Source organism: Homo sapiens, chromosome 1, assembly GCF_000001405.40.
Source record: "Homo sapiens chromosome 1, GRCh38.p14 Primary Assembly".
Classification (NCBI taxonomy): Eukaryota; Metazoa; Chordata; class Mammalia; order Primates; family Hominidae; genus Homo; species Homo sapiens.
This window is the reverse complement of record NC_000001.11, coordinates 78,055,197-78,069,939: the sequence shown is the minus strand read 5'-3', so window position 1 is coordinate 78,069,939 and position 14,743 is coordinate 78,055,197. Positions and strand designations below refer to the sequence as shown.

Here is a 14,743-nt window from a genome sequence, read left to right as displayed (position 1 = left end):
ACAGTCTATTCCTTACTACACCCTACAACAGGAATTCTGACAGAAAGAGATGAGCACTCTATGGGGAAAATATGGGCCACCTGAGAAAATATCAAACATCTTGAGAGAGAAAGATGTTTCTTCTAAACTAAAACACCTAAAAGTCATCATAAAAATGTACTACAGGGGTCAGGTGCGGTGGCTCATGCCTGTAATCCCAGCATTTTGGGAGGCTGAGGCAGGCAGATGACCTGAGGTCAGGAGTTCAAGACCAGCCTGGCCAACGTGGTGAAAGCCCGTGTCTACTAAAAATACAAAAATTAGCCAGGTGTGGTGGCAGGTGCCTGTAATCCCAGCTACTCAGGAGGCTGAGGTATGAGAATCACTTGAACCTGGGAGGCAGAGGTTGCAGTAAGCCAAGATTGTACCACTGCACTCCAGCCTGGGAGATAGAGACTCTGTCTCAAAAAAAAAAAAAAAAAAAAGTACTACAGGGTTCCCTAGATGAGGGAGCCAAATGATCTGGGAGAAAAGGGTGAAGGCAAATTCACTGACCACCTCACACACTTATATGTTTCATCAGGAAGTTTGAGAGCATAAGAAAATTCACCTATGGGTGGGCCTGACAGGACTGAATCCACAAGTGAGGTTAGCCCTCAATCTGGAGTGTATGTGAGGATTCTTCTAGGTTCAGGCTTTTCAATTTTGAACCATCTCCTGCCCCAGGGATAGAATAAGCCCAGGAAACTGAGAATGGGAAAGGGTGAAGAGCAGCCAAGAACAGAATTCTGTCACAGACTTGGAGATACCCAGGCACTGCCCTGGCTGACTGACCTTTGCTCGGAGTTGTTGATTATCAGCAACCTGTTCCCTACTCTCACCAAGCAGTTTCTTCCAACTCTCTGCTTGCCAACATTACCGCCATTCCTGCCTGCAAGACTCCCGGTGCTAGGGGAGGCAGAGCACTTAGAAAAGAGAGGGAGAAGACCAAGCAGGGGCAGGAGCTGAAGAAGCTGACAGGCTACCACAGGACTCCATCCTCAACTCCCAGGAATGTGTCACCAAGCCAGAGCCAGGATGAGGAGTACCAGTCTCCTGGCTCCAGTCTGGGTGCTGACACTGAGCCCTTGCTACCTGCTTCTATTTTTATGAGCACACATACTCCCTCTCCCTAGCCTTCCAAAAAATGCCTATAATGCAAAACCTTCCTTATTCCCCAGGAAAATGGCTTATATATTGTTGGCAATTAATAATTATATGATAAACTTTCTCACATCATATTTTTCTTCTTTCTCCTTTTCTAGCAAGCAGTTTGGTTATAACTGGGATAACTCTAGGTCCCAGTTTATCCCTGTTGTTCCAGAGTAATTATAGATACTATCTCTTTCACTCTCTGAAGCATCTGGGTTGGTTTGAAATATCAATTTTACACTAACCTGTTTATATTAAGCTGATCAAATAAGAATGCTCCCACTTCAAGATGCTGAGACTAAGACAGCATGGGATAAAAGGAAAGTCATGTGATTTGGATGTTGAGGAAAGGCAGTGGTAGAGTTCTTCTATCCCTTGGTATTGAAGTAATCTTCCCCACATGCCCCAATCCTGGGCTTCTTGGGAGAAAATACAAGTCCCCACAACTTGAGCATAATGACCAAGATTCTAGGAGACTTAATGAGTATGGGGAGAGTTGGATATTAACTCTAAATGTTCAGTGGGGGAAAGAAGTAGAATAACAGAATTATATGCTGAAACAAATTCTGTCACAGGTACTCTCTATGCCTAGAAATACGACATGAAGAACTACATGTATTACTAAAAGGTTTTTTTTTTGGCTTAGAAGAATAAGCATTGACAAATGCAATACAAAACAATTCTGAATAAATTGTATTATTGCCCAAGTTTAACTGAAATGTTCAACTTAGTTGACTGAAATTGCTTATTAGGTTTATACTAAATTTGATTGAAAGAGCCCTCATCAGAAGAGTCCGGGCTAGTTACTATAAAATAATCCATGCAGGTAGTTTAGACTAAGGACCATCCACAGAGAGTCCGGGTTAGTTACTATAACAGAATCCAAACAGGTAGTTTAGACTGAGGACCATCTACAGAGATAGACATTAAATTTGTTCTTATTTTCTGGATGTAGGCAAAGGGTGGGAGAATGAAAACTGTACCTGGTCTAGAATAGAAAAATTATAAGAAAAATTTGAGGCGAGGTGCAGTGGCTCACGCCTATAATCCCAGCACTTTGGGAGGCTAAGGCAGATGGATCACAAGGTCAGGAGATCAAGACCACCATGGCCAACATGGTGAAACCCTGTCTCTACTAATAATACAAAAATTAGCCGGGCATGGTCGTGGGCACCTGTAATCCCAGCTAGTCGCAGGGGCTGAGGTGGGAGAATCGCTTGAACTAGGGAGGCGGAGGTTGCATTGAGCTGAGACCACGACACTACACTTCAGCCTGGGTAACAGAGCAAGATTCCATCTCAAAAAAAAGAAAGAAAAGAAAAAGAAAAGAAAAATTTGCAAAAATAAGTGTCATCCAGCATCTTTTTTGAGGAAAACAGGAGTAACATTTATTGAACCATTGTACCATTGTTCTGGACACCTAACATGCTATTTCATTTAATTCTCACAACAGACCTATAAGGTAATTCATTGTACATTTTATTAGTGAGAAAATGGCTAGAAGGTGTCATCTACAGGAATCAAACCCAGGACAGGCCACCCTACCCTGAAACCCTCCTCCCCATCTGATCTCAAACCCTATGCTTCCCTATCATTCCACCCTAACTTTTGCACCTGCTATAGGACTCTATAAACCTGTCAAATAGCCACAGCAACAGGTGACACTTCAAGATATTACAAAAGATTGAGACATCACAAATTTTTCTAAAATCGCTACTCAATTTTACATGATTTTTTTCATTTAAAGTTCGGGGTACATGTGCAGGTTGTACAGATAAACTTGTGTCATGGGAGTTTGTTGTACAGATTATTTCATCACCCAGGTATTAAGCCTAGTACCCACTAGTTATTCTCCCTGATCTTCTCCCTCCTCCCATCCTCCACCCTCCACTAGGCCCCAGTGTCTGTTGCTTCTTTCTATGTGTCCATGCATTCTCATCATTTCACTTCCACTTATAAGTGCTAATACGCAGTATGTGGTTTTCTGTTTCTGCATTAGTTTGCTAAGGATAATAACCTCCAGCTCCATCCACATTCCTGCAAAGGGCATGATTTTGTTCTTTTTATGGCTGCATAGCATTCCATGGTGTATATGGACCACATTTTCTTTTCCAGTCTACTACTGATAGGCATTTAGGTTGAATCCATGTCTTTGCTATTGTGAATAGTGCTGCAATGAACATACATGTGCACGGGTCTCTACAGTAAAATGATCTATATTCCTTTGGGTATATATCCAGTAATGGGATTGCTGGGTCAAATGGTATGTCTACTTTTAGGTCTTTGAGGAATCACCACCCTGTCTTCCACAATGGTTGAACTAATTTACACTCCCACCAACAGTGTTTAAATGTTCCTTTTTCTCTGCAATCTTACCAGCATCTGTTATTTTTTGACTTTTTAATAATAACTATTCTGACTTGTATGAGACGGTATATCACTGTGGTTTTGACTTGCATTTTCTAATGATCAGTGATGTTAAGCTTTTTTTAATATGACTGTTGGTCACATGTATGTCTGCTTTTGAAAAGTGTCTGTTCATGTTCTTTGCCCACTTTTTAATGGAGTTGGGTTTTTTTTCTTGTAACTTTCCTTATAGATGCTGTATATTAGACCTTTTTCAGATGCCTAGTTTGCAAATATTTTCTCCAATTCTCTAGGTTGTCTGTTTACTCTGCTGATAGTTTTCTTTGCTGTGCAGAAGCTTTTTAGCTTAATTAGATCCCATTTGTCAATTTTTGCTTTTTCTTGCAATTGCTTTTGATGTCTTCATCATGAAATCTTTGCCCATTCCTATGTCCAGAATGGTACTGCCTAGGTTGTCTTCCAGGGCTTTTATAATTTTGGATTTTGTTAAAGTCTTTAATCCATCTTGATTTAATTTTTGTATATGGTGTAAGGAAAAGGTCCAGCTTTAATCTTCTGCATATGGCTAGCCAGTCATCCCAGCACCATTTATTGAATAGGGAATCCTTTCCCTATTGTTTTTGTCAGGTATGTCAAGGACCAGATAATTGTAGGCATGCAGCCTTACTTCTGGGTTCTCTTTTTTGTTCCATTGGTCTATATATCTATTGTTGTACCAGGACCAAGTTATTTTGGTTACTATAGCCCTATAGTATATTTTGAACTCAGATAACATGACGTCTCCAACTTTGTTCTTTTCACTTAGAATTGCCTTGGCTATTCAGGCTCTTTTGTCTTTCCATATGAATTTTAAAACAGTTTTTTTTTTTTAATTCTGTGAAGAATGTCCTTGGTAGTTTAATAGGGATAGCACTGAATCTATAAAATGCTTTGGGCAATATGGCCATTTTAATGATATTGATTCTTCCTATTTCCATTTGTTAGTGATATCTCTGATTTCTTTGGGCAGTGTTCCATAGTTCTCCTTGTAGAGATCTTTCACCTCCCTGGTTAGCCGTATTCCTGGGTATTTTTTTTTTCATGTGGTAATTGTGAATGAAATTGCATTCCTGATTTGGTTCTCAGCTTGACCATTGTCAGTGCATAGGAAGAATATCACAAATTTAACAAGCCAAACACATGTTCTACTCTTTTAATTACAGTCCTGTAAGACTAACCCTGGGCAACATAATGAGATCCTACCTCTACAAAAAATTTTTTAAATTAGCTGGGTGTGGTGGCTTTTGTCTATAGTCCTAGCTACTCAGGGGCTGAGGCGAGAAGATCACATGAGTTTAGGAGTTCAAAGTTTCAGTGAGGGCCGGGCACAGTGGCTCACACCTATAATCCCAGCACTTTGGGAGGCCAAGGCAGGCAGATTACTTGAGGTCAGGAGTTTGAGACCAGCCTGGCCAACATAGTAAAACCCTGTCTCTACAAAAATACAAAAAAGTTAGCCAAGGGTACTGGCATGTGCCTGTAATCCCAGCTGCTTGGGAGGCTGAGGCAAGAGAATCGCTTTAACCAGGGAGGCAGAGATTGCAGTGAGCCAAGATTGTGCCACCACACTCCAGCTTGGGCAACAAAGTGAGACTCCATCTCAAAAAAAAAAAAAAAAAAAGGTTGCATGAGTTATGATTGTACCACTGCACTCCAACCTGGGTGACAGAACAAGACCCTCTCTCTAAAAAACATTTTTAAAAAGATGGATCCTAAAACTAAAAGTACAAAACCAACAGGACGTCTTTCTCCTTGTTCGCCCTCTTATTGTTTCCCATCCCCACTCACTCCCGCACCTCCCTTTTTATCATCTTCTAACTTCACAGTGTAGGACAATTACTTAACCTCTAGCAACCAAGTATAAAACAGTATTGCTGGAGGTGACAGCCAATACTGGCCTCTAAGGAAACAGGTGGAAATATCAAGGGGTCTCTTTGATTGTTAAAATGATTGTATGGCACCACTGGCATTTGAGGGAAGCAGGGCATGGGTCAAGGATTCTGTTTGAATTGCAATGCTTGAGAAGCCCAGCTTCATGAAGAACTGCTTTGTATTCCACATGATGCTCAAATGTCCTATTAGACATTCATGCTGGAAGGATGGGGGGAAACTATCAACTATTTAAGCCTAGCCCCTAATTCTGTGTTACACACAGCGTATTTTTTATTCTGAATTTCTATGGGCTGCAATTACCATGTAAATCAAGGGAAGACTGTACTTTTTTATGCAGTGCCTTACCAAGAGTTATTTATCGTTTCAGAAAATCAAGTCATTGACAGCAATGCTGCCCATGTTATTTGGATTTGTAACATAAAACATTTATATCAGTCTGCTCCTGTTGTTGCACTATGGCAATTCTATGAGCATTTACAAACATTAATATCTCTTATTTTAAAATGTTGAATATGAGGAAAAAGAGACAAAAACAATCAATTGAATCCCATCTTTTTTTTTTTTTTTTTTTGTCTTTTTGAGACAGAGTCTTGCTCTGTCACCCAGGCTGGAGTGCAGCGGCACAATCTCAGCTCACTGCAACCTCCACCTCCCAGGTTCAAGCGATTCTCCTGTCTCAGCCTCCTGAGTAGCTGAGTAGCTGGAAATACAGGCATGCACCACCACACCCGGCAAATTTTTGTATTTTTAGTAGAGATGGGTTTCACCATGTTGGCCAGGCTGGTTTCGAACCCCTGACCTCAAGTGATCTGCCCGCCTCAGCCTCCCAAAGTGCTGGGATTACAGGCATGAGCCACTGCACCCAACCTGAATCTCATCTTATTCTTACTCTTTTCAAATCCAAATGTATTCACTACAAGTAGATACAAGCAACTGCTTCATGTTTTTTGTTTTGGTTTTTTTTTTGTTTGTTTTTTTGAGATGGAGTTTAGCTCTTGTGGCCCAGGCTGGAGTGTAATGGCACAATCTAGGCTCACTGCAACCTCCATTTCCCAGGTTCAAGCAATTCTCCTGCCTCAGCCTCCCGAGTAGCTAGGATTACAGATGCATGCCACCACACCTAGCTAATTTTTGTATTTTTTGTAGAGACGGGGTTTCACCATGTTGACCAGGCTGGTCGCGAACTCCTGACCCCTGCCCGTCTCGGCCTCCCAAAGTGCTGGGATTACAGGCATGAGCCACTGCACCCAGCTGCTTGATGCCTTTTAAGATAACTTTTCCAAATACTTGGATATTAAAATCCAAGTTTGTTTCTAATATTAGAGTTAAGGAATCAATTATGCGTATAGGTAGAAAACATTGTTTAAAATCCTATTTCAGGAAAGTAAAGACGGTATCACAAAATATTTGTTATTAGAGGAAGCCTTTGGGTCTGCTAAGGTTAAGAATCACTTACGTAAAGGAAAGAATACAGACTTTGACGTCAGATAGACCTCAAGTCAAAGATATCCCTCTGGGCTGTGAAACTTGAGTAATTTACTTTTACTCTAAGCTCCAGTTGCTTCTTCTATAGATTGTAATAATTTCTGGTGGTTCTAGCAAGAATTACCATTTCCGTTAAGATAGCATAGGTTAAGTGGTAATAGGTGTTCAACAATAATTCCTTGGCCAGGCACGATGGCTCATGAATGTAATCCCAGCACTTTGGGTGGGTGGACCACCTGAGCTCAGGAGTTCGAGACCAGCCTGGGCCACATGATGAAACCCCATCTCTACCAAAAATACAAAAAAAAAAAAATTAGCTGGGCACTGTGGCACGCCTGTGGTCCCGGCTACTTAGGAGGCTGAGGTGACAGGATCACTTAAGCCTGGGAGGTGGAGGTTACAGTGGGCCAAGATGGTGCCACTGCACTCCAGTCTGGGTGACAGACTGAGACCCCCTCTCAAATTAAAAAAAAAAAAAAAGAAAAAGAAAAAACACAGTAATTCCCTTCTCCTCAATTCTTAAGAAATGCTTCCCTTCCTCCACCCACTTTTACATACAGGCAGGAAAATGGAGAAAGGAAGGGGAAAGCACAGAGAACACAGAAGAAGGAAGGAAATAACAGGAATCATGACCAGCACCTAATACCCAACCACACCCAGAACACACTGCTAGTATCAAATGTGAGAAGCTTCAGGTGGTTAAATTAAGGTTCTGGCCCTGGATCATGAGGGACATAGTGTTAACGCCAATTATACAACCACTACTACATTAATGAAATATATGGATATGTAACCTGTTTTAAGAATAGATACACAGTTATCATTTCCTCAACTTTGTTACTGTGTATCCCTTTAAGGCTACTTTAACACTGTAACTTAAGAACCTGTGACTTTTATAGACTGAGATGTAGAGCCTGGATTTTAGTCATCCCTCTCCATGTGCTTTGATTTATCTCCAGGGAGATTTTTATACACATAGCAAATACACATTCTGAATGCTTGAGTTCTTAAGCCTCTTAGCCACACCACCTACAGAGGGTCAAATATGTTTCTAAAAAGCAAACATTCAGGCTGGGCACAGTGGCTCATGCCTGTAATCTCAGCACTTTGGGAGGCCGAGGCAGGCAGATAACCTGAGGTCAGGAGTTCAAGACCAGCCTGGCCAACATGGCAAAACCCTATCTCTACTAAAAATACAAAAATTAGCCGGGCATGGTGGTGTGCGCCTATAATCCCAGCTCCTCAGGAGGCTGAGGCAGGAAAATCACTTGAAACTGGGGCCTGTTTAAAATTAGTGTAAAGAACACTTCATTATAAATTAGCTGGGCTTGGTGGCTCACGCCTGTAGTCCCAGCTACTCAGGAGGCTGAAACAGGAGAATCACTTGAACCCTGGAAGCAGAGGTTGCAGTGAGCCCAGATCGCACCACTGCACCCCAGCCTGGGCGACAGAAGGAAACTCCATCGCAAAAACAAAACAAAAAAAAAACAAACAAAAAAAAACCATTCTACCACTGACAAAGCTCTAAGTCCCTTCAACTTCCCACTCCACATTTTAATCACCCAAACCTCAGAATACTCCACACACCCCAAACAGCAGGGCTAGAGTTTCTGAGATGAGTAATGAAGGCCAGTTTCTTGGATCCCAATTCAGACAAGCAGTGACAGAGCCGTCCACCTTCAATTGGCTTCCTCTTTTCTTTGTCTAAGTGAGCAACTAGCCCAAAGGTGTTTGTTAGTTACTTCTCTCTGAATAAGCAGTGTCAAGGAACACGTTTGGTTATATCAGGTGATGGGGGTTTACACCAAGAAGACACAGGGAAACAAAGGCAGCACAGGAAACCCTTTCAGGAAACAGGTAGACTTCTTAGAAATTATTAAAATTTGTCTAATCACCATTAAAGACACAGTGGCAGCTCTCCTTGCACAAGGACTCCCTGGTGGCCCTATGAGACACTGCAAGGATACAGTGACTGCCATTCCCAGGCCTCAGCATTTCTTTCTTAGGGCTACTCCTGTTCTTCTCCCACTACCAACCATACAGAACAGAATACAATATGCTCTTAATTGAGTTAAAAAAAAAAAAGAAGATAAAGTGGGGGGATATACCCCCCACACAGATATGAATGTTTATCTATCTACCTATCTATCTATCTATCTATATACACACACACACATTTATAGAGTATTTTTCTGGAAGGACAGTAAAGAAAGTGGTTACAATAGATGGTTCTGGGTGGCCCACATCTTTTGGATGTTTACCATGTAAAAATTCAATTTATATACCTTACTTTTTCAACTAAAATAATCATTTACTGTGTAGCTCCACAGTGGACTTCAGCTTTATAGAGAGTAATTTCTGCTAGTAACTTCAGTAAATGAATGCAGCACAAAAGCAAGAGATCACTTTCCTTTGGCAGCCTCTGGTCAAACATTATGGATGCCCTCATTAACTGAGAGCCAACAGGTTAATGGGAAGAGGAGGACTTGAGAGGTAGGTTGCAGTTAACACTGAGATAAAATCAAGAGATGAAAGAGGGTCGGTCGGCTGCAGTGGTACACACCTATAATCCCAGTACTTTGGGAGGCTGAGGCAGGAGAATTGCTTGAGCTCAGGAGTTTGAGACCAGCCTAGGCAACATGGCAAAACCCCATCTCTACTAAAAATACAAAAACTAGCCACACATGGTGGTGCACACCTATAATCCTAGTTACTTGGGAGGCTGAGGTGGGAGGATCACTTGAGCCTAGGAGGTTGAGGCTTCAGTAAGTGATGATCACTGTGGGTCTCAAAAAAAAAAAAGAGAGATGAAACAGGTTAGATTAGGAATAGATCTTACGAATTGATTACAGCCCACCTATATCCTTTACCTATAAAGCTTTGAAACAACTATAAAAGAATTTGTGTGATATCACCATCCCAAATTTCCAAACATTACATTTGATGTCAGAAAAGCAGAAAATATGCTTCAGCTTCTAAAAAAATTCTTATGTCAAGTTTATACTACTATGCCTTACTGAATTATATTCATAGAATTCTATTTTCCAAAAGTCCTCATTAAGTTCAAAAATACTACATCTTCATTTTTTAATCTCTAATTCACAGAGTGCTATTGGCACTTCAGTTTTAAATTCTCTGTCTAGCACGTCTCTAACAAGAAGTGATCTCTAAATGACTTTATTTATTTTTTCTTTTTTTCTTTTTGTTATTGTTTTTTGTTTTTTCTCACTCTTGTTACCCAGGCTGGAGGGCAGTGGCACGATCATGGCTCACTGCAGCCTCAACCTCCCTGGGCTCAAGCAATCCTCTTGCCTCTGCCTCCCGAGTCCTATCCAAGCTTCAACTTGGGACTACAGCTGGAACTAGAGGCACACATCACCATGCCTTACTCATTTTTGTATTTTTTGTAGAGAGGGGATTTCACCATGTTGCCCAGGCTGGTCTTGAATCCCTGAACTCAAGTGATCCGCTGACCTTGGCCTCCCAAAGTACTTGGATTACAGGCATGTATGTGCCACTGCACCCAGCCTAAATGACTTTAGATACACCAGGGTCTCTACCATTTCAAGGATTTCTATAGTCAAGCCACTTGCAAAACACTGTCATAGTCATCATTGTATGTCCCTCAATACTTTGTACATAAAGATGACACTGGAATATTTTTAATTGAATGCACAAGCTCTGGAGGAACATTCAAGCTAGAAAAGACCTTGGATCTCTTCATTTAATTCAGTGGCTCCCAAACACACAATCTACCAATGGATGACAGGCCAGCCACCTAAGTATATCAGGGAAGCTTTTTTAAAATGACAACATTCTCAGGCCCTAGTCAAAATCTGTAGGGGTGAAGCCCAGAAGCCTGTGTTCTTTAAAAAGGTCACCAAGGTGATTCTAAGAGGCAACTGGCTTTGGGAACCACTGGTGTAGTTCACCCACCCCAACAAGAGGGAAGACTTGCCCAAAGTTGGATAGTGAGGAGGACAGGGCAGCAAAACGATCAGTAAAGGACAAGGATGAAATGGAAGCTATTTGGCAGAGTTCTTTGGTGCTAAATGGGCATTCACTATAACAGAACGTTATGAGTTACCATAGAGTCCCTTTTTATCACAGAATAACTGATGAATCATTTTTGAAAAAACATACCAGCATTTTTTTGAAGTATATATCTTGGAATATTGGTCCACGGAGTGTTTGTTATGCAGGAAAAAAGGGAGAGCACGATACTCAAATAAGTGAAGGGAATAATAAACACCAAGATTCTTGGATATTTAAATTTTTAGTGGACTTCTCAAAGCCATTAATATGTATCATGAATTTACAAAATACAGTTCCCAAAGTTATTTGACAACTGGAGGCATTTTTTCTATAATATGTCAAGGGATTCATGTTGCTTGGAACACATTTTAGGAAACCCACACTAGCTTGTCAAATTGTTTGTCATTGAACCACACTCCACTGGAGGATGGGGCTATGTCATCTTCACCTTTAAGTTCCCAGCATCAAGCACAATGCTGAACTCCTAATAAGCGCTCTGAGTGAATCCTTCAATTAAAAAAAAATCAGTTAAAAGTAACTAAAGATGGTTGTCTATTTGGTAAACAAGTTCAAAAGTTAGAATACAATAAAGACTCTTCCAACTCTACAATTATAACTACCATTTAAAAAATACCTACTATGTGCCAGGCACAGATCTTACATACATGATTTTTCATGTACCCCTCACGACAACCTTTTGTGATGACAAGTATCATTAACCCCACTTAACAGATGAGGAACAGAAACAAAGAGCAGCCAATAACTTGCCCAAGGTCTCAGAGATAGTAAGCGGCACTCCTAACCACTAAGCTATACTATAATTCCATGCTTCCAAACAGAAGGGAGGTTTAAGAGTATATGGCACAGAGGAGGTATTAAGAGTGGCCATATAAATGATGGAACATTTTCCAGCAAAAAGTATAAACATACTTATGTTTTCCTCTTGCTTAGCAAAAGCTTCTAGGTCCTTTTTTCTAGGTCCTTAAGGCAAGAAATGTGGGTATAAAAAGAAAACCTATAATTTATAAGAGTTCAGAGAATAACCCAACAATGTCTATTGCATTCAGTCTCATTGACTCAAGAAGTACCCATCTCATAGGATGGAGGACTAGAATGTAAGCTCCATGTGGCCAAGGATTATTGTCTGTTTTATTCATTGATGTATCCCAACATTTGGGGCAGTGACTGGCACAAAGCCAATAACCAATAAGTTTTCTAATGAAGAATAAGATTGAACATGCCTAAATTATCTACCTTCCATTTTAAAACTGTATTATAATCACTCTTTCCAGCTATAAATTCATAACATGTACAAATGATCAAAGTAAACTTTTTTGACATGGTACACACCTTTTATTACAGGGTTTTTAGTTCTTTCTTCCCTGTATTTGGTTCTTTATACACATAACAGGAAGAAATATCTCCACAGTGATTTCTTTTGAAAAATTAAAATTCCACCAGTAATTCTAAATTCCCTGACTTGATCATTACATATTGCATGCCTATATCAAAATCTCACACATATCCCATAAATATGTACAATTATGCATCAGAAAAATTCTGCCAGCATTCAGATGTAGGAAAAGCACATCTGGCTCTGCTGAGGGTATAGCTGAGAGGGTTTCTTAGGGATGAAGGGCTCACAGATAGTCCCAGCCATACATTCAGAGGGTTATAGAAAAACACAGTTGCTTCACCGTACAGACAACTGAAATAAAAAACATAGGAGAGACTTTTCAAAATGGGATGGAGTCTATTCCAGTAGAATAGAACTGATGACATTTTAAAAGGTAAGACCCCTATTTTATCTGTTGATTTTATTCATTCAATATAAAATTTTAACTACACTTTTGATATTGTCTCATCGGGAAAAAAATCAAACCCCAACTGATTAAACCTAGACTACAACTATTAATTTATAGGAAATACAGTGACTGGGGATGCCAAACTAGACTACAGGAATGCAATCAGCAAAAAACAAACTGTGAAACACACAGGGTAAAAGATCTGGCTGCTTCAACAAATACACTGGAAAGAGAACAAGACGAAGGGGAATCTATAGATTAAAAAAGACTCAAAAACATATTTAAAAGAAGTCCAAATTATGGTGTTTAGGAAAGCACATAAATGAAAAAACTATATAATGGGATTCATTACCATGAAAGTCAGGATGGTTGTTACTCTTGGGTGCAAGTGGGAAGGGGCACATGGAAGGTTCTCAGGAGGCTGATAAAGTCTATCTCCTGACACAGGTGTGGTTACAAAGGTGTTCAATTTATCCATTAATTTACACATTTGTTTTATGTGCTTTTCTCTACTTGTGTTATATTTAATAAAAATTTTGTTAATGAGGGAAGAAAAGAAATGTTGGCAAATGTTGACAATTGTCGAAGCTGGGCACATGGAGTTAATTACACTATTTCCTTGATTTTGCATGTATTTAAAATTTCTGTAATAATTTTTTCTTTTGTTTTTTTGAGACAGGGCTTTTGTCGCCCAGGCTGGAGTACACTGGTGCAATCTCAGCTCACTGCAACCTCCACCTCCCAGACTCAAGCCATACTCCCACCTCAGCCTCCCGAGTAGGTGGGACTACAGGCTCACACCACCATTCCCAGCTAATTTGTTTGTATTTTTTGTGGAGACGGGGTTTCACCATGTTGCCCAGGTGGTCAAGAACTCCTGAGCTCAAGTGATCCTCCTGCCTCAGCCTCCCAAACTTCTGGGATTACAGGCGTGAGCCACCATGCCCAGCCATAAGTTTTACTGCATACTAACTGCCAGTCTTTGCCCAGAGTGGCTCTCAATCTTATGGAAGAGACAGACATTAAAGCAATGATGACCATAAAGTCTGATAAGAGTTATGGAAGTTTAGAGGATAGGCACAGAACCCAGTCCTGAGGTAGTGGGGAGGCTTCAGGTAATGACCTGCAAGTCCTGCAGCACAAGTAGGAGTTAACAGGGAAAGAGTAGGGGAGAGATTTCCAGATAAAGAGAACAATGCATAAAGGTCATAGAGAACGGAAAATACTTTCGTTTTCTAAACAGGCCATGGAAGGTGTCTGCCATTTACGTTCCCCTAAATCAAGATGTCTCAGAATATCTACCATGTGCATAGCTCTCTCCTGCAGGACTCCTTATCCACTGCTCACCTACCTCTGTACCACATGACCCTGTAGGCTGGAGCAGAGATGAACCTGACCCACAGGCCCAAGGGTCCTGTCCCACCTGTGCTGTACCCTGACACAACAAAGACTCTTTCTTAGGAAGTTTAATAAGATACACAGGCAGGGCACAGAAAGTAGAGAGGTAAAGAAACACAAAGACACAGTGGGGTGAGGTAATAATGGGAGGAGCAAAGTCAAGAGGATGAGAAGAAAGAATCAGTCAAAAGTAGAATAAGCAGGGAGAGAGAGAGGCTGAGATGGAAGGTTAAGGACAACTAGACTTGCTCTCAGTTCTCTACAGTATAAAGCTACTGCTTTAACCTGAACAGAATGAGCAACGTTCCAACTGTCCATGGAACCTGACTGTGCAGCTGCAGAAGCTGTCCTAAGCTTCCTTACCTCCCTATACATTTTAATATAAATATTTATATGGACTGAACATGTGTGTGTCCCCAAGCCTAATCCCCCACCTCCTACCAGGTGACGGTATTTGGAGGTGGGGTCTTTGGGAGGTGACTGGGTCATGAGGGTCAAGCCTTCAGGAATAGGATTAGTGCCTGCATAGAAGAGGCCCTAGAGAGAGCTCC

General features: G+C 40.9%; 1 protein-coding gene across 3 annotated transcripts in view, besides 2 other annotated features; it reads right to left on the bottom strand.

The window, feature by feature from the left end:
* GIPC2 (GIPC PDZ domain containing family member 2) overlaps positions 1-14,743 on the bottom strand; it is a 93,475-nt gene that overhangs the window by 68,505 nt on the left and 10,227 nt on the right. The gene's annotated exons all lie outside the window — the stretch shown is intronic.
* Positions 8,444-8,523: an enhancer, noted in NCBI's record as "active region_1230". NCBI's record gives its function as "activates an Ori minimal core promoter by ATAC-STARR-seq in GM12878 lymphoblastoid cells {active_cell/tissue: GM12878}" and the evidence as "EXISTENCE:reporter gene assay evidence [ECO:0000049][PMID:35858748]".
* Positions 8,634-8,683: an enhancer, noted in NCBI's record as "active region_1229". NCBI's record gives its function as "activates an Ori minimal core promoter by ATAC-STARR-seq in GM12878 lymphoblastoid cells {active_cell/tissue: GM12878}" and the evidence as "EXISTENCE:reporter gene assay evidence [ECO:0000049][PMID:35858748]".